We start from the raw sequence: 21,603 nt of genomic DNA on the forward strand, positions 1-21,603 counted from the left end.
AGGTGTATTTTTAACAAGCTCCCCAGGGGATTTGTTGTTGTTGTTGTTGTTGTTGTTGTTGAGACGGAGTCTAGCTCTGTCCCCCAGGCTGGAGTGCAGTGGTGCGATCTCGGCTCCCTGCAAGCTCCGCCTCCCGGGTTCACGCCATTCTCCTGCCTCAGCCTCCAGAGTAGCTGGGACCACAGGCGCCCTCCCACAGGGGATTTTTATGTGACCAAATGGGCACTACTAGTGGACCCAAGTTTGGAAACCACTCTATGTGTTAACCTCATGTCTCACCACTAAAGATTTCCATTCTCAAAGGTTAAGTTTCTCTGGCTTATATTTCACAGACCTCAAAATCTCTCATGTCTATAAGCAGGTATGCAAGATAGAAAAACAGCCTGATTTCTAATACCAGATTAATACTTTTGTAGTTTCTGATTTACGATACTGTTAGCAAAGCTTCTCACTTGTTGAATCTAGAATTTAAATATGTGTACCAATAAGGATTAAAACAGTATTAAGATATTTAAAATGCAAACAAATACCTGAAGGTTTTTCTTTCCTAGAGTTTTCTTACAGGAGCACTCATAGAATCTTAGAAGATTAGAATTGAAAGAAGTACCGACAGAGGTTAAGTTATTTACCTGTAGTCCCAGAGCTCATTACTAGCAAAACTGGGGTTTAAATTCAGAGCTCCCACTCTGCTTCTACTCGTGCTCCTTCTTCAGCATAAACCAATGCAGCATGGAGAATTCTATTCTAAACACCTCAACCCCTCACAACTACTAATTTCTCTTTTTTTTTTTGTTTTTCCTTTTTGAGACGGAGTCTAGCTCTGTTGCCCAGGCTGGAGTGCAGTGGTGCGATCTCGGCTCACCGCAAGCTCCGCCTCCTGGGTTCCCGCCATTCTCCTGCCTCAGCCTCCCGAGTAGCTGGGACTACAGGCGCCCGCCATCACGCCCGGCTAATTTTTTGTATTTTTAGTAGAGACAGGGTTTCACCGTGTTAGCCAGGATGGTCTCTATCTCCTGACCTCGTGATCCGCCTGCCTCGGCCTCCCAAAGTGCTGGGATTACAGGCGTGAGCCACCGCGCCTGGCCTACTAATTTCTTCTTTAAGCAACCTTTATGTCCTCAAAAAGTCATAAAAAAGGGAAAAAAAAGAATTTTTGTTTTATATGTTTTTAAATGACAGCTTTAAAGACAGTTACCTGAAAATGAAACAAAGAATGATTCCAAAGCTTTACTCCCATGAAATAGCCTCTTCAATACTCCCCTGATCCAATGCATCACCATCATCCTCTTTCACCTGGACTACTACAATAATCAATCTTATGTCCTTCCAAATAAGTCTCTAATCTGCAGGAAAAACAATGGTCTTTTTAAAATGAAAACCTGATCATGTTATTTTATTTCTTTAAACTCCCCAGTGATTCTCTGATGCTCTTTGGATCCATAAGCAGTAAGGCCTTTGTAAGCTTGTGATCCTTCAATCCCATTTCTGGCCCATCTTCCCTTGTGTGCCAGGCTTCACTCGTTCTGACTTTTCAAATTTCTTAATTGTGCTATGCTTTTTCCCATCTCAAGACTTTACCATACGCTTGCTCTCTGTCTAGAACATTTCCTATGCCCAATCCAAGCTTTCACTCCACTAACTTTTAATCCACCCTTACCTCTCAGGTTTGAAATCTTTTCTGGGATGCTTTCTCTGGCTTTCATTACTGAGCTGTCTCTCTACCAGTTGGCACTTCAATTGTTTACTGGTTTGATTCCTCTCCTAGACTATAAGCACCATGAAAGCAGCGGATATTTTACTAGACAGTAAATCCTCAGCCTACCTAGCACACAGTAGCAATTCAATAAAGAGTTGTGCAGAGAAGAAACAAAAAAAAGGGGAAGGAGCATGAGATGCAGGAAAGCAGAGGAGAGAGGAAAGGGAAAGAGGGAAGAAGGGAGAGAAGCATGAAAACAATCCACTATTTTTCCAGCACAATGTCTTTAATATGATGAATTCTCTTTTATCTGATATCTTCAGGGATGAGATATTCTGATTAATTCATTCAATTTAAGACATAGTTCAAGCTTTCAAAAACTAATGAGGATAAGGCAAGCAGATTAAAGAAGACAAGGAATTCAATTGTATGGAATATAGAGCAAATCCTTTATCAACAAATAGCATAAGGAAAGGAATGAATTTGGTCAGGTGCTCTGAAACACTGAACAAAATACCTACGTACACAGCCACTCATCCTGAAAAACCCAGCACATTCTAACACCCAGAAGCACTGCAAACCACTAAGTAATTCACTGCTCAATTAAAGTTCATATCAAAGACATAATATTTCTATAAGTTGGGAAGAAACTACACTCATTTTGGCAGAAAAAATGACTCTATAGTTTTGATGATAAATTGTTATTCTTACAAAGAGAGGTCTGAGACCCTGTATATATCTATAAGCAGTAGACAGGGCCTTAATTTTTGAAAGTCTCATGTAGATATCTAAGATCACGCACTGTAAAAGCACACACAGCTCAATTTATCTGTCTTAGAAGGAAAGTGAGCCAGATGGACCCTGCTGGGATTTGTACCTGAAAGTTACGGGAAAATTTGAAGTTCCGGAAAAAGTTCTTAAGGCACACCAGTTAAGAAAAATAAGTTGAAAAATATATTGTTTTTGAGGAGGCCATTTACTAAGCCAACAAAATTAAATTAATGCCACAATCACTGAGAAAATAAAAAGATATACACGTTATAATTTTAGTTCTCAATTATTCTCCTGTAATCAGTTTGTCTTCCTACTAGTTGTGGATATATCAATTTTCAAAAAAAAAAAAGGAAGAAGAAAAGGTTTTTTTATGACCCAACTCAAAGTCACAGATTCTTCTAGCTAGTAGCAATCCAGAAATAACTCAGCCTAAACTTCTCATTTTAAAGGTCAGAAAAACTGAAGCTAAGAGACATTAAATGACCCTAGCAAGGTGACACCGTGAGACATTGGCAGAGTGAGGACCAGAGCTCTAATCCCCTAACTCAGTAGCTAGATTTCTGAGCACTAGATCACTGGAGGAAGCAGCCATATTTTTCTATTCAGAAATTTTTTTTCTTCAAAGCAAATGCATCACATTCTATTTGAGCTTGTAGACACCTAAAAACCCCAGATGGTCTCATATCAACTTCCTCCAAGGCAGTTCACCCCCTTCCTGAATTTGTGCGATAGATTATTTTTACTCTAAAAGAAGAATTTTATTTATATCCATGTTATATTTTATCTTGGTGCTTTCAGATCATTGTTTCTGCCTTTTAAGATCAAATTGAATTTTGGATCTGCCATTCATGTTGCTAGGTAGTCCTCTGAGGTCTGAATCATTGAAGAATCTAAAGAGCATGACTTGTGTGTCTTCATTCAGGTCACAGTGAGGACACTGAATAGGGAGAGCAGAGCTGCTGCTAGCCAGTCTGCCAGGAGGCTTAATGCATGAATCAAGACCTACTTCATTGACTGTTCAGTAGGCATTGAATCCACCTAAAGATTTTTTCATCCAATCCACATTTTTCTATCTTGTTTATATCTCTATAATAAGCATAATTGCACTGACTACGTGCAAATCCTTATAGAATAAGCATTTAAAAACAAAATATTACATTTCTAGGAGGTTTTTTAGTTGACAAAGTATTTTATGCACATTATTTCATCTGAAACTCAGAGAAAGTAAACAAGTCAGGGTTTATTATTTCTGTTTTGTAGATTAGGAAACTAAGTTTCAGAGAAGTTCATTGACTTACTCACCATCAACAAGCTAATACGTATTGAAGTAGTGTGTTCCTAGACACTTGCTCCAACACTTTTATGTTATTTCATCTGGATAGTGTAGGTAGCTGTCAAATACATGACTGAGATGAGTTTCAGTACTGTACTACAAAATCTCAAGTGAACTACATATCCAATTTTCTGAACACCAAGAGAGCCCAACAGGGAGAGAAAGGCTCCTCTTCCATGTGTTTTCTCAAGATGGACTAATAGGATTTCACGAATCCTGTTTCAAGTATTGTAAACACACACACACACCAGCTTGCTATTTTTCTATTTTGAATACCTAAGAAGCTTTTACCCATCCCGCCCTTTGTCCCAGTAAGTAGGCCTTTACTGTCAAGAAAAAGAGCCTAGTTGTCTTGCCAAAATGTTATTGGGAAGGTACCTTATCAAAGACCAACAATAGGGTGTATTGTTCCCATGTTCTTTCAATGACACACTCAGCTCCTTGGTATGTCTCCCTGGTTCCTAGATAGAGAATGCCAATACAGGTTTTAAGGGCTGCAGCCAATCCCCCACTTTTCCTGCCTTCTACAGTTGAGCTAATAGCCAGCTTTTGTACCTATTATGTGTACTCACATACAATTGTCAGGTTAGCTATTAAGTAGATAATCAGATGCTGTTTTGAGTGTTGGCTTTCACAGATCTATAAAAGACACCCTGCTACACACATACATGTGCAAGATATTACGTCCTAAGGGTCCACTGTGTATCCTGACTGTGCTGAGTATTACAAGGGGCATTAACAATAACACTTCACAGTTACACAGGATTTTAGAATTGACAAAATACTTTCATAGATATCATTGTGATCCTCACAATAGTTATATGAAATAAACAGTACAGATGCCATCATTTCCATTTTATAGATGAGAAAAGTGAGATACAGCAAATTCAGTGACCTACCCAAGGTTACACAACTATTGAGTCACTGAGTGGTCTTAATCTAAAATCTCTGCAATCCAATTTAGCGGAGAACACAAGTTATTTGAAGATATGACTTTAAGAAATGAAACAGTCAACAGCATGAACCACTCATATTCAAATGCTGCATTCTAAGCGTTCATGAAAAAAGTTGTAGATTTCCCGATTGAGCTCAACAAGGCATGCAAGGCCTGCTAGAGCTCTCGTGAAAATCTTTTAAATCTTTTCACCCTAGACCACAGTTCAAACCACTAAACACTTTAAACTGTGCTTTTCATGCACTAGAAAGAGCTCTTATTCTGTTGTGGAGAGTACAATAAGACAAAGATGCAACTCAGGTGCATTAAGTTATCCTATTCAAAGAAAATAAGTAAATTCTATTCAAAGAAAAGGGGAAACACCCTGTTCAACCTGGTGAATTATCTGATGGCAGTTAAAGGTATGAATCATAAGGCCATAGACACTGCAGTGAGGAAGCATCTGAGTTTCATCTGACACAATAGCAAAGTACTAAGCCTGTAAAAACTTAGTAAGACAAGGAAGACAAATGACAAAGTGCAGTATGACTCTGAATAATTTCTTGACAGTAAATGGAGGGCTCAGCAGTTTCCTGCACATTAAAAATCATGCCCTATATGATGTGACCTGTACCCTCCTTAAAGAAAAATTACAGTCAAGATAAATGTAATAAGAGAGAACAAAAAGCTGAGAAGCTGAATTCACACCAAAGCAGATAATTCAAAAGATGTTCTAGAGCAATGTCTTCAAGGGTGGCGCCTGGACCAGCAGCATGATCATCACCTGGGAACTTGTTTAGAAATGCAAATTCTCAGGCCCCAGTCAGACCCAAGGAATGGGAAACTTTAGGCCTGGGGCCCAGCAATCAATAGTTTAGCAAACCCTCTAGGGGATTCTGACTCTTAGGCCAGCTAAAAATATAGTAGTCCTGTTATCATATTTACTGATATCACTTGCCCTTTGGCAGTGCCTTCAGATGAAGAAAGTTAATACTGGATGATGAATGGTGTGTTTCCATCTGCTATGAACCCTGGAAGTGATACTTTTGACACACCCCCACCACCACCCACTGTGGGTGCTATAATTAGCAATCTGTGGAGGAAGTATCTCTGAAAGCTTAATAAGTACAATGGGACAGGTATGAGGTAATTAATCATTCAATTATGGTCATGATACAGTTAATTAAACATAGTTTCTCCTCCCTCAATCACCTAGCTCTTTCTTAGAGCAGTGATTATCATATTTTAGCATACATCAAATTCACCTAGGAGGGAGGGCTTGTTAAAGGGGAATCCTGAGACCCACCCCAAGAGGGTGATTTAGTAGGCTAGCGGGTGGGGCCAGATAATTTGCATTTCTAACAAGCTCCTAGGTGATGCTGATACTGCTGATCTAAGGACCACATTTTGACAACACCTGTACTAGAGAAAAAAAAAACAATTAAATTAATTTTTTAGGTACTGGACCACTGGTGTGCTGGTGAATGTTTAATAACTGGCTTTCCAGGAAGAAAACAAAAAGTAGTCAATGATTTGTAGCATTTGCCAATTCTGTAGCAAATATTTCAACCATGATCTATATTAAGCTACAACATGATGTCACTGAGCTGAGAGTTAGGTAGAGGTGTACACAGTCCATGTTTGCTAGCCAGCTCCAGTGCAGCTCTGTAGCCACTCCACATTTCTCTGGACTTGATACGTGCAAAACCTGCAGCATCACACTGTTTAAATTCCACAGTCCCCTGAAAGTAGGAATTTGCTGAGTCAAACAGATGCCCCATCTTAATTCTGCTTCCTTGTTTGGTGAGTCACTGACTCTTTAGCAGGAGAGTCATGTGAAGATCCATTTCTCACAATAAAACTCATAGTAAATTTCCCCAAATGGAGCTCCATTATCCTGAGTATCCAACACTCAGAACTTGATTTGGGAATGGTTTCGGCAGCAGACTGTCCACTAGAAAACGGGATACCATAAAAGTAAATGGCAAAATATAAAAGCTGTATTACCAGGCGAGTCCTGCAGTGGGGCTCCTAAAGTAAAATATAAGTGATTCCATCTGAGGAAGAGTTCAGATATCAAATGTGACAAACCCACTATGTGGCATGTAGCGAATAACCCAGTTCCTTTTTAAATATGGAATGCATGCTCTTAGAGTGAAACACTCAGAAATTTTAAATAAGTTCCAATAAGAAAAGATGAAAGGAAAAAAACAGATTCCTCTTTCCTTTCCATTTGAACCTCTACTAAACTATTCTGCATAAAATTCTATGTATTCTGTAAAAACTTCTGTGTTGCCTCGGTGAAATCATGACATCTTCCTTACCCCCACGTATCATTTTTTTAATGCAATTAATGCTGCCACAACTGGCCAATCATCCAGTCTTGTCAGAAATTCTGGTCAGAATCCTTACTCATACACTGGATAACTAGCCTTTGAATAATCAAAAGGTGACTGTAAAAGTGAAATCTGCTTCAGGTCTTACTTGCTTTGTGAAGGTAAAAAAATTCCTGATCAATGTGCAGAGAAAAAAAAAGTGGATCAGCAAAACAGTTGCCTTTAAGACATTCTCTTGCCTTAAATTTACTTATCAAGAGAGTCTCCTTACCTTGAATCCCAGCCAGTATTATTATCGAATAAGCAACATCAGAAAGTTTCACCACTACGAACAACAGAATAACCATCACAAGCCTTTTGGCAAAAGATAATGTGACACTCCATTTGAACAACAATTTTCTCTACATACTAATTAAAGTAGTTACTGTTGACCCACATTTTCATCTGGTACTAGGGGACAAAGATAACATGTCCATGTATCGTTTACCAGCACCAGATTTCCCAAGCTTTCAGCCAGCCCTTTCACCAACTTGCCATCACCAAGCAGTGACCCCTTCCTGAAGAGCTTAACCTACAGAGAGTTCACTTGGAGTCATTCAGCACAGCTCCGTAATTCCACACTTGAGAAGTCTCTCTTGTTGTTGGACCACAGCCAGAACAAAATTAAAGCATTTCCTATTCAATTTTGGCAACTGCAAGGACCCACTCACTTAAAGCTTGATAACAGTGAGTTGATTCAATTGCCATTCAAGAAGAAGCAGTTTTGCAAAATGGGTTTCCTGTCAGCAGCCCACATTAAGCTTCCATTTGTTCTGCCTCTCTCTTTCTCTCCTTTTCCAAAGATTTAGGAAAAGGTATGTCCCAAGAACTTAGCTTTTTTGGTGGTCCCACTGAGGACATATAGTAACCGAATTCCAAGATATATATTATTATATGCCATGTACATACCATTGCACAGTCATCAAGGACTATAAATATCCCTAATTCTCTGCCGCCACTTGTCCATGTCTCTGTCTACAGATTCTTCCATATTCATAGCTTTCAAACCCACCTGAGTTCCTCCTTTCTCTCATTTCAAACCCCAGTGACGGTACAGGTCTAAATCTGAAGAGTCTTCATTATTCGTCTTCTCCCTCATTCACTGCATCACCTAGGGCAATAAGGCATTTTTCAAAAGAAACTATCAAGCAAATAAGGCCTGAGTGGTTTGTTTATGATTCTAGGATAAAACTCAAAAGTTGCAGTCTTTTGTGATGCATGATTTAATAGAATAGGAAGCAGGCCAAGAACCACAGACTAGGGAGAGGGAGTGAGACCATTAATCAATTACAGAGGAGCACTCACAACAGTGGATATCATAGAAAGCCATGTTTTCCACAGTTCAGAACACACTGAGGTAATGTTAGATGATTCATGTATAAACAATTTTGCTTCAGTAATTATGTGTTTAGAACCTACAACAATAATAAATGTTATCTATTATTAGTACTACTGTTACATTATTTTGTCTTCTAGAAGCTAATTCTTTAAGAAAACTATTAGTGCTTTGATGATAAATAGGTTTTAATGTACTTGACAATTCTGAAAGATAAATAGTGGATGCCTGAAGAGCTATGTTGGGGAAGATGGTGAAGCCACGTCTAAATTCAGCAAATAAATAAATAAATAAAATGCCTTCATCAGTTAGAGATAACTATCATAGGCTTGGACAGCATATGTATAATACATTTGCCCACCTGCCCCCAGGACTAGCCTTTACGGTTCTCTAGGAGAGGAAATGTGCTGAGCTGCTGTGTTTTACACTGCTGTATTATCAATTCCTGGTGCATAGAACCTACTTAATACATTTTTGTTACATTGAATGCATTGATGTAGAAGCACTAAGACTTCGCTGAATAAACACTGAGCAAAATGCAAGTCTGTATTCTGGAACCAGCAGGAAAAAGTAACTAATCTATTACCTCAGACTAATCACTGAACTATTTCAGGCTGGTGCTTATAAGAAGTTGGACAGGATGATCTCTAAGTCCTTGGGTAGCCCCAAAGCCTATCACTATTTCATTCTCCCTTCTGTTTCTCTTTGGCGAAGACTTTTGTACCCTATGTTATCGATGTATGCCAATACATTCATACTTATAAAAAAAAAAACAGAATCAAGAGTAAGTTCTGAAAGAACAGAGAAGTTTGATATTTAAAATAGTTGAAAGTTGTGAAAGTATCAAATAGAATGGTCTGTGATAATGCCAAAGGGCCACAGAAGGTTTTAAATGAGTGGCTGAACCTTGGTTTGCTTTTTAGAGCTGAGCCTTTCAAATCTGATTCTCTTTATTCTGTGACATTTGTCAGTGACCACTGCTGATTACCTACTTGATGATGTTTGAGCTATGGGTTTATACTGGTGATTGGAAAGGAGAGAAGGGGTAGCTGTCAGAAATGTGACCAAAGAAAGATCATAACCTAGAAAATGAAAAACAGGATGGCAAAAATTCTAGTTCTTAGCTGACATATGACATGAATATGAGTACCTTACAGAGAAGGCATAAAAGTATACAGAATTACTAACCATGCAACCTAGTGAAATACAATCCAATAAATCTCTTATCAAAGCAAAAAGACACAAAAACTTCATAATAATAAAAATTTTTATCTGTTCTATCTAGTCTGGAATCCAAAATAGTACTTAATGTCCCCAGAAAATTATACATAGACAACTCTTCCATGATATTCACACAGCAAAAAGTGTGAAATGTGAAAGCACTTAGGATGAATATTCAGATGTCAATCTCCTAATATCCTCAAACATCTCAGAAAAGAACATTCGGAAAAACACAAACTGGAAAATCAAAATAAAGAGACATATGGACAGAAAAAGAGAACAAATTATAACAGGCAGATATAATCCACATATAAATAAACACAAGATCATGTTTTTCTGTCTTAATAATTTATACACTTTACTCCTTAGTGAAATCCAGGACTTTTGATGATATCAGCTCTAACCAGGAATCTACACTGCCCATTCATAGTTGTCTGTGAAATTTAGATGTTTGAAGTATCTGATTTGGGGTGGTAGGTCTTCACCCATTAATTAGCTCTGGTAATGAAAATCCCTCAAGTTATCTGAATTTGAAAGATTTTATGTGGCTTCAAAAACTAATCCCGAATAGGCCAGGTGATGCCCACTTGAGAAGCTAAGGAGAATTACTTAAAACACATTCTGGCTGCAATATTATTGTTCATGCTGAAATGCAAGAAGCCCTCACTGCCCAACAAGGGGCAAATGATCCCAGATCAGAGTAGACTGACTGAATTAGATGGAATATTTTTTCAACTGTTATTTCCTTCACATTATGGATAATGTCAGGCAGACTCTGGCTTACCCTTAACTTAAGGACTTAGATCCTGCATTTCTTCTTCCAAGAAGCCATCTCTCTCTCTCTCTCTCTCTCTCTCTCTCTCTCTCTCTCTCTCTCTCTCACACACACACACACACACACACACACACACACACACACCCCTCGGTATAGGTTGGAAGTCCTTCCTCAGTACTGCATTTACACCCTTTGCAAACCTGTATCATATCACCTATATTTTATTTGCTTTGTATTCTCAGCACCTGATGTACCTGAAACTTTGTAAAATCAGAGAAACAAAATGAAACCTAGTCAAGGTTGGATGAGTGAAAGAAGTCTTGAAAGTGATGTGTCATATCTTTTGCAGAATAACAGTACCCTATTTTCATTCAATACATGAATTCGAAATTCTAATTTATTTGCTTTCAATGTAGAATTTCCCAAGGTCTGTATATCAAAATAATAGTCAAGGCTGTTCTCTTTTTTAAAACTTAAGATACATCTTCAATTTCATATTTGTTCTCTCTCTCTCTCTGTCCTATTTTGTTGCTTGTTTGTTTCCACAAAGGACAGAATTAAGACTTATGAATAGCCAAAGAGAAGCATGGCTTAGCCCGTGACTAACCATAGGAACTATAGAGTAAATCAATTTCTTCCTCATCTGTAAAATGAGATGATTAGAATAACTGATCTGAAAGGAAGGTTTCTTTCTAATTTTGTCATTCTACAATCATGTATGTTACCTGTTCTATGATATATATTCAGGAAACCACATTAATTTGAACTATACTGATTTGGAATGGGTCAGAATGTTGACTGAGATAATCAAACTTATGTTAGATTGCTTTTTTTCCTTGTTTTCCCTATTAAAAGAAGAGAAGCATGAATAAATAAATTAACCACATAATGAAAAAGGTTGAGGGCACCTCTACTCTCCTAAGAATGCAAACTGGTCTTTAAGTGCTTTAGAAGTGTCTATTTACTTACAAACGGTGTAACTGCAGTATATGTAGGGTTGATACTGTTTAAAGTATTTTGATGAGCTAATTAGAGATCATCCTTATCTATTAATTAAAACTCCACTACACAGTGTCTGAGGAGTTATAATAGTTGCAGTTTTTATATATTCTTAAAGGGATTAAAACTAAAACAAGTATTCATCAATTTAATTAGCTTTCCTTCCAATTCATTCAAATGGATGATTGACAATGCTTATGTTAAATGAACTTATTTTGGAAAAAGTAGCTGCATTAAATAAATTATAAGAATGTTGATATATTGGTCATTGGTTTCAAATGTCAAGATTACAATAAAAATAGCATTAGGTAGTCAACCCTTATTTCCCAGAGTAGAGGGATGGCTCAGCAAAACAGGGGGACTTATGAATTAAGTCTGTCTATGCAACCATTCATAGAAGTATTTTGTTGAATCAAAGCATTCTCTATGTAATGAGTGAATAAAGCATTTCAAATCAATAATCATGCACTAAGGGCTAACAAGTGCTAGGTTCATAAATGGGCTAGTATAATGTATGGGTAATACATTTTTTGAAAACACAATTAAGCACTTACACAAACAAATATAAAGTATACTAACAACTGCCATAAAATGGATATGAAAAAATGATTTATGAGGGTCAAAGGTAGGAAAGACTATACCTCTGTGGCAGGAAAGAATTTCCCATGTGCTACTTTTTTTCTTTTTTCCTGATACAGGGTCTCACTCTGTCACTAAGGCTGGAGTGCAGAGGCTGCTCACTGCAGCCTCAACTTCTTGGCTCAAGCAATCCTCCCAACTCAGTTTCCCAAGTAGTTGGGACCACAGCACGCACACCAAACCTGGCTAAATTCGTTTTTCTTTTTTTCTTTTTTTTTGGAGAGATGCAGTCTCTCTATGTTGCCCAGGCTGGTCTTGAACCTCAGGGCTCAAGCAATCCTCCTGCCTCAGCCTCCCAAAGTGCTGGGATTACAGGTGTAAGACATCATGCCCAGCTGCTACTTTCTTAATCTACACATCAACCTTTCAAATAATATATTAGTATTGTAATGGAATATATAGACACAATCAGATGAAAAGAATTACTACAAAAAGGAAAAACAACGAAAGGCAGGAATAAGAAATAGGCATGAAGAATCAGGAAGAAACCAATCTGAAAGATTAACTGCCTCGTATTGAGAAGTAGAAGAGAACAGAATCACATGATGAATCAATGCCAGTAACCCAAGAGGAAAGTAAGATGGGGAAAATTAAAATTCGCTGAAATCTAAACTGGTCAGTGTGGTTATGTAGCCACAAAGCAAGTAGAGAAGAACTTAATTGGTTTTGCTGACTAAGGGCTGCAGGTGGGCATGGTGATACATAAATATATGAAGTGATGTGTGATTAATGAGGAAGGGGTGGTTTGTAGGCCTAACTGGCAGTTTGAAATGTAGTAGGATCACTGTTGTGATTTTATTCTAAGTATAATTTTTGCATTATAGCTAAGGGCATCAGAAATTTGGGAAATTGTTATATTCAGGGTTAACTCTTCAGAAACCTAGAAGGGAAAGAGAAGATGACCCTTCCATGAAAGGGATGAAAACACTGAGGTTGAAGAGACTGAATTATGGCTCCCTGAGCACTGCCTGCCCTAAGAGATTTTGATATGGCTGACTCAAACCAGGAAGCGCTTGGCTAAAATAAGGTGCACCAAAACAAGACCTCATGAAAGAGGGGCTAGTCAAATCCAGAGCAAAGAGTCACTTAGTGTACAGGTACTTCTCTCCCAGACTAAACAGACCAAAAGGATTTTCCAGAACTCTCTCCCCTAGACAGAGACAGAGGTTGGAAAATCAATACCCTGTGTAAGCAAAAGGACGTGGATGTAGATTGGCAGAGAAACAGAAAGCAAGGAATACAATACAGTAGCTCATGAAGGGATTGAAAGAGGGTCCAAAACCTGACATCTTCACTTTATAAATGAGAAAACCAAGCTCAGGGGGGTTTACGGGCTCACGATCACAGGGGATCAGTAGTTCTTAGGATTCAATCCCAGACCCCTGTCACTCCAAAGGCAAACTGCATATTTCTTTAACAAGCAGGCAAAGTTTGAGATGAACAACTGGAAAGCATTTGCATATGTGTAAAGGCATCCAGGTATAAGAATCAGGAGCAAAAGATGGGACAGAAAATGTGAGATGTGCCTGATAAACACCAGGGGTGCACTGTACTTTGTGAATCATCACTCAAACAGATGATGAGATTAAGCTATGAAATGGATTTCTTTGATGGGAAAGAGCAGACTTCTGAGGATGTGCAGAAAGAATGTGACCATAAGGGAATAGAAAGTCATCTAGGAAAGAGACAACAGAGGAACTTGACAGAGTAGGGAAAGCATCTTGATGAGGCAGAATCACAAAAACCAAAGGAGAAGAGAATTTGGGCATGTTTTTCAAATGCCTAACTTCAGAATCAGAAATTACTTACTAACAGAGAAGGACATGACCCTTTTATTTCTCATTCTTTTCAACCATCCGGGTCTTCAGGCAATTTTTTTCATTCCTTTCTCATTTCATGAATTGTTTTTGGAACGTTGATTTGGTGAGAAAGGGAGTGCAGTATTTATCAGCATTTTCATTCAGAAACAGAACCTAAAATATTCTATATTCACTAACGGAAGATGAAGAGTAACCAGTTTCTTTTATTTCTTTGTTTGACAAATAATTGATGCCCAATAGGGCATTTATTGGAGAACAATAATATCTCTATTATAGCTATAAATGTCTGGATCCAGAGAGCCCTGTTTTGCCTCTTGTCGGAAAATACCAAGCTTGTATAGCTGGCTAGTAATATTTCCAAGTACTACTGTTTGAATTTAGGCATAAATTCTTCTAATTAGATTAGATTTCTTCTAAATAAGAATTTACTGTGTACCCTTAGATTGCACTGTTTAAAAGAATTAGGCACTTTCTTAAATCCGAATGACTACTCTTGTTCTTTTTGAGTAGTTTATGGTTTTTCCAAATAATATTCATTAGGCAGTTCAATTACAGGGTATGTTCTATTCCTTGGTTATTCTTAGTCAATACCTGAGTGAAAGTAGTGTATCCTTTTCATGTTTCTGTTTAGCATTAGTCATTATTTGCTAACAGAGTAGCCTATTGATTGGTGAGACTTGTAAAATTAATGGCTGGGAAAACAACTTAACCTCATGGCATTCTATGAAATCCCCAGAGTTCCTTGGACCTTGCTTGCAAATTACTGTCTTTATGTCACTGGTTTTTACATACATGTAATATTTCTTGTTTAAATCTTGGGAATTTGGCTCATGTAAAGGCTCTTCTTCACTCAGTGATTAGCTAGTCCTTTGTGGAATCTTCAGAAAGATTTATATTAAGGAGTCAGTCAGTAATCTAAGAGTTATGAAAAAATAGTTTCATGAATCAAACCATGTGTGTCAGTGAGAATATTTTCATGCTGTTTCTTTTCATTACATTACATGACAGAGTTGATGATTTACAATGCAATAGCCCCCTCTCTGGTAGTAGAACAGGGACTAAATTGATATTCTCTCACAAACACTTGTTTGCAATATTTGTTTAAAGATAACCCCCTACTATGGCCCTAACTTTTTGAATGGTTAAGTGTCCTTCCTTCTAATTGATATATTTCATTTATAATAAACCTGGTTTCAAATAGGAAGAACATGTTGGGTGGTATAGAAAGGGGTGGAATGAGAACAAGTAAAGGTATAAGATAATATTTACATTTATTTTGTAGGACCACAAACCATGCAAGTCTAAAGATCACAAACAATTTGTAAGGAAGAATACAAATTATACCAACAATAGAGAACACACTTTCTTTAGGAAATAAGACATGAAAGAGGCTTTGAGAAATGGGTAGACTTTGCACTGACATGGAGAAATAAAGGATGGCATACTAGGCAATGAGAAGAAAGAAAGAACAAAGGTATGCACTGAATATAACCTGAATCGACATTTCTCCACAGAAGACATAAACGTGACCAACAGGTACATGAAAGGGGCTGAACATCACTAGTCATCAGGGAAATGCACAGCAGATATCACCTCACACCTGTTAGAATGGCTATTGTCAAAAAGGCAAAAGATACCAAGTGTTGGCAAAGATATGGTAATGGACTAAAACTGATACATAAAAATGTGATATATAGGCTGGGTGCGGTGGCTCACGCCCGTAATCCCAGCACTTTGGGAGGCCGAGGCAGGTGGATCACCTGAGGTCGGGAGTTCGAGACCAGCCTGACCAACATGGAGAAACCCCATCTCTACTAAAAATACAAAATTAGCCTGGCGTGGTGACAGGCGCCTGTAATCCCAGCTACTCAGGAGGCTGAGGCAGGAGAATCGCTTGAACCCGGGAGGGAGAGGTTGCGGTGAGCCGAGATCGCGCCATTGCACTCCAGCCTGGGTAACAACAGCAAAACTCTGTCTCAAAAAAAAAAAAAAAAAAAAAAAAAACTAAAAAGGTGAGATATATATACATACACACACACACACACACACACACACATATATATGTATGTATATAGGTGTACACACACAATAAAATATTATTCAACCTTAGGAAAGGAAATCCTGGCTGTAAGCGGTGGCTCACGTCAGTAATCCCAGCACTTTGGGAGGCCGAAGCTGGCAGATTACTTGAGCTCAGAAGTTTGTGACCAGCCTGGCCAACATGGTGAAACCCTGTCTCTACTAAAAATACACAAATTTAGCCGGGCATGGTGGCATGTGCCTATAGTCCCAGCTACTCGGGAGGTCAAGGCAAGAGAATCGCTTGAACCCGGGAGGCGGAGGTTGCAGGGAGCCGAGATTGTGCCACTGCACTCCAGCCTGGGTGACAGAGCGAGACTCTGTCTCAAAAAAAAGGGAAATCCTGCCTTTTGCAACAGAGATGAACCTGGCGGACATTATGCTAAATGAAATAAACCAGACCCAGAAACACAAATATTGCATGATCTCACTTATACGTAAAATCTAAAAAGTCAAACTCATAGAAGCAGAGTATAGTGATGGTTGCCAGGGGCTAAGGGATGGGGGAAATAAATGTACAGTTGCTTATCAATGGGCATAAAGTTTCAATTAAGCAAGATAAATAAGTTTTGGAGATCTAATGTATAGCGTGGTGACTATAGTTAATAATAACATATTGTATACTTGAAATTTGCTAAGAGAACAGATTGTAAATGTTCTCACCACACACACACACACACACACACACACACAAAATGAGGGGATAGATATGTTTGATTGTACAATCATTTCACAATATATACATATATCAAAACATCACATTATATACCATATGTGTGTGTGTGTGTGTATATATATATACACAAATTTCATTTGTCAGTTATACCTCAGTATAGCTATGAAAAAAAAGAAATAAATTTGTTTTCAAGTGTTAATACTGTGACTCTCTTTTTAGGAATGGATTTCTGGAATTTTACCTTGTAGCTTCCTCCAATCCAACCTTCAGTAGCCTGTCAGTCTCAAATCAGGTCATAGCCATTTGTAGTATCTGTCCTGAGGTGATACCAGGAATATTATAAATCCAGTTACAGAGCCAGGGAGTGGCTTTGTTGTAGTCCTGGTCTGAAATCCCTATTGGTAAGTTTTCTTCTCTCAGAGCTAGCAGTTTACAATAAGCAGTAGTCCCCACTCAGCTTTCAAAATCATGTTTTCCCCCATTCACAAACAACAGATTCTTACAGCAGCTTTTGACTTTGAATAGTGAGCTTGAATCTAGTGGTCCATCTTGCATGAAATATTTTAATTCCCTACATCCACAAGGGAGCCAGTTTCTAGGCTGCTTGCAGAAGTGTGCCCCACTAGTTGATGACTTTGGTCTTGCCTGACATTTTATGTTTATGTTCTATTTCAAGTCCATAGAGATGTTATTTCATTTTTGAAAGCAGCAATGAGTTTTTGTGTTTTCTTTTTATATGACTCTATTTTCTATATTTGAAACACAGCATTCTTGTCATGGTGTGAACTTACTCTGCCACATTGTCTGGAAGTCTTTTCAGGGCTATATCTATCATTCCAAATTGACAGGAAGCCAGAAATAAAATTATACAGAAAACATGGTGACCAACTATATTTTGAATATATAGAGAGAATATCTTAATTTATGTCAGTCAACTAAATACTCAATGACCATCTACTATCTTGAGGTATATAAATGCTAAAAGTATAGCCTTTGTAGCCAAACCGTTTGCATTTGAATGGTAGTTTTGTTGTTTGATCTTTTGAGTTCCTTTGAATTGCTTTACCCAAGTGCTTCAATTCCTCATCATTAAAATAATACTCATCTCAGAAGTTGGCTGTGAAGAATATATTAGGATATGTGAAATCCTTATAGTAATGCTGGGTCTAATAACAAATATATTTAAAATTTTCTTATTTATTTACCTTAGTGCAAAATGGTACCAGATTCTGTAGGAGATATAAAAAGTGCTCAGTACATATGTCCTGCATGTATAAATTTTATTTTGAGTTGGTAAGGGTATAAATGTAAAACAATTAGAGAATAATAAAGCCATTATGTCACACTTTTCCACATACTATTTTATCAATTCTAAAATGTATTAGGAATTAATAGATAATGTAATTTATTGAAAACTGAGATAGCTGAGAATAAATGTCTTAGAGAGAGACTTGAGGTATGTTATAATAGATGAGATAGATGGAGAGAAAACCCAGGTAAGGAGGCAACACAAGCTGAGATTAGGGGAGGAAACGAGAGTGATGTGTAGGATGAACATGCTATATGTGGAGAAGAACATGGCAGAGGATCTGGATGGTAAAAATGAGAGAAACAGCAGCGGATTATCATGGATGAGATTAGGGTAGATATATTTAAAAGCCAAATGAAAGAGTTTAGACTTAGGTGAATGATTTTCAATAGGGAACTGTGGTTCTTCTTTGGGGTAATAACAAAATGGAAATCATATATAGGCAAGATTTTTTGAGATAGTTACACATAATTTAATGAGCCAAAAACCTAATTTTATGCCCAGGCAAGTTCAAGTTTGCCTATAAGCATCTTTTAATTTGAAACAGGAATGATCTAGTCAGGCTCTGTACACGGTTTTAGTGATATGAGACAGAGGGCGCTGGATCCTCCCACTTGTCTGACAGTGAAGGGCACATTCCCATTGTTTCTTATGTTCACTTGTGAAAAATGAGAAATACAGAATCAGAGACATGACCTAATTTAAAGTCCACTTTGCATTATTACCAATGGAAATATCCCAAACTCTCCCAGTGGCCCTTAAATATTGTTTTAAAAATGCTGCTGTGAAAACAAACACCAAATTCTTGCAGATAAAATATATTTCACCTTATGAGCTTATACAGAATTCACATCAGGCTAATAAAATAGAACATGTTGACATTGTTAAAGTTAATGTACAGTAATTTAGTACTTGCTGAAGATACATTTGAAATTTAACATATCAGAACAGTAGGTAGGTTGAAACACCTTGGACACCAAATAGATATTTTCGTGTGTCCTTGAGGAGTATCTATGCTGCAATATTAATTCTGGAAAACCACCAAATGTAACTATAATGACAACAGTGCTGTTAGAGTTCCACAGAATTATTTTCAGGTTTTCTTTCATAATTGAATCATATTTTATTATTACCCTAAGATACTTAGATTGCACAACTGTGCATAAAATCCCCTGCCAGAAAATTGAGGAAAGAATGAACGAATTAGAAGGAAATAATGAAGCCATCCCCAGATTCCAGATGGATACAAAACTAATTTCATCTTTAAGGTCCTGCCATCTGTTCTTTTTATTTATTTTAGCATTACACATTTACATACCTTCAAGTGAAGAAGTCAAAAAGCAGACGCATTTGTAATGGAACACCTCATTTAAGGGGAGAAAAGGTCAAAAACCGTAATTTCTTTTGTAATGCTTTGGTGGAGTCTAGTTGTTTGTTCAAGATATGCAAATTTTTCCAGTAACTGAGAAATAATCAGGCTGACAAGCCATCAGGAAATAGTAAATTAGGAAAAGCAATAAAATTGTAGCAAATCCTATAATATGGTAGTCAAATCGTTAATGTGCTTTTAAATTTTTTCTTGTTGTTCCCTTATGTTTGTTTCCTTTTTGGTAAATTTGAATAAGGTGTCAAAAATTTTCAAGCTGGTATAGTAGATTGAATAGTGTGCCCCAAAATTCATGTCAACCTGGAACATTAGAATGTGACTTTATTCAGAAATAGTGTGTTGTAGCTTTAATCAATCAAAGTAAGAATCTAGATGAGGTCATACTGGATTGGAGTGGGTCCTAAATCCAGTGACTAGTTTACTCATAAGCAGAGGAGAGGAAACAGAGAGACATACAGAAACAGAGAATAAGGCCATGTAAAGTCGGAGGCAGAGCCGGAAGCCACCAGAAGCTAGGGAGGGTCAAGGAAGAATTCTTTCCTAGAACTGTCAGAAGAAGCATGGTCCTACAGATACCTTAATTTCAGACTTCCGGCCTCCAAACTCAGAGGAAAAGATAGCTGTTGTCTTAAGCCACCAAGCTTGTAGTACTTTGTTACTACAGCCCTAGGAAACTAATATGACTGCTAAGATTTATTGAATGTAGATTTTGAAATCTTTTGAAAGCTTAAATTTTTTACTTTCAACATTCTTACATAGCCATGAGTAAAAGCTGTGTATGGAAATTTGAAGATATGAGAGCATGTTTTTTTGCACTGAGTAATATAAATCAAACCAGACACATGGGGAAAGTCAATGTAAAAATTTACACATGATCCGCATTCCTAAACTATGCAAAATGCATTTAGCTACTATTCTAACTAAAGAGTTAATCAAGAAATAAAGAAGAAAAACAACAATATAGGGGAAGAAATGTTGTCCAAAGTTATTTTTAAAAGAATAAATAAAAACGAAAAATCTGGTAAGATCCTCTCCTGTTTCCCTGTTGTTTTAAATCTTTATCTTATTTCACAGAGTATCAGTTTTGAATCTGAAATTTAATGAAGATAAGCAATATCTGATAGCATGTTTATACTTGCATTCCTAACTGCTACGTGCCTATGGGACACATAAGATTGTGAAGGTGGGGAGAGACACGTATAGAATTAACAGCTTTCATTTTACTCTTCAAATTTAAGAGTTGGAGAGTTTTTCTTTTTTAAAAAATCTAAATTTTAATGAACCCTTTTATAGGGCAAAAAGCTTTGCTATTCTATATGCCTTAATCATGCTAGGATGTGTTTTGTTAACCAATGCATAGTGTTGTGTGGCCTCAGATTTAGGAGTATGCTTGTGTGTGGTAGTGTATCCTATATGATTTTTTTATTTGATCAGTTTCTTAATACCATTGTATTTTGACTACTATTCTTAAATAATAAGACAACCATTTTTTTTCAAGCTGGGTAGAGTATGTGAAATATAAGAAAGCACACTTAATTAAAATAAAAGCTGAAAATTAAAATCTTATCAAGCTTGCCTTATTTTAAGGAGCTCAGACCATTGCAAAAATAAATCTTGCTTTCTCATTTAGTTTCAGGTGACCAAGTCTCTGAATCCAACAGTTCTATCTTCTGCCTCCAAATGTAGCATGATATTTCCTTCAGATTAATGAACAGAAATACATTGCCATTGTAGCAACAATCAATCAGTTAAATCACACTTTCTAAGGCCATTTCAGGGATTTTAAATTATTTTTCTAAACTATTATACCCTGTTTTCATCATCACCCTCTCTACCAAAAACTTTGCATGACATTTAATGCCCTGTGAAAGAAAGTCCAGACTCCTCTCACCCTGGCAAAGACAACCTTCACTGATAACCTGGCTTGGAAGATCCTTTCTGATTTCCTCTCCTACTATTATTGCCTATCTGAGCCCTCCTCTCTGTGAAGTTAGGCTCATCCATTCACTGTTCCCCAAACACTTTATGAGCATCCTTTCTTCTGAGATTTTCTTCACTCATCTCACCAGAAATGCCCATCACTCTTTGAATGCATCCATATCCACCTACCTTGAAGCCTTCCTTCTGCTTCCTTTGAAATCACAGCTGTTACTACTTGGCCCAGTAATCTGGCATTCAACCACATAGGACTCACAAACCTGAAAAACGCTGTTTTTTAAAATTGTCAAGTGATATAGATAGATATTTGGA

General features: G+C 37.4%; 1 protein-coding gene across 8 annotated transcripts in view; it reads right to left on the reverse strand.

The window, feature by feature from the left end:
* CTNNA3 (catenin alpha 3) overlaps positions 1-21,603 on the reverse strand; it is a 1,851,072-nt gene that overhangs the window by 917,301 nt on the left and 912,168 nt on the right. Inside the window, exon 1 of one of the 8 annotated variants that reach the window (XM_017016157.3) lies at positions 8,125-8,779. The exons of the other annotated variants lie outside the window; for them this stretch is intronic. The gene's annotated coding sequence lies outside the window, so the exon portion shown is untranslated. Of the gene's footprint in view, positions 1-8,124; positions 8,780-21,603 lie in introns of those variants that run through there. 8 annotated transcript variants of the gene reach the window in all.

This window comes from Homo sapiens, chromosome 10, assembly GCF_000001405.40.
Source record: "Homo sapiens chromosome 10, GRCh38.p14 Primary Assembly".
Taxonomy (NCBI): Eukaryota; Metazoa; Chordata; class Mammalia; order Primates; family Hominidae; genus Homo; species Homo sapiens.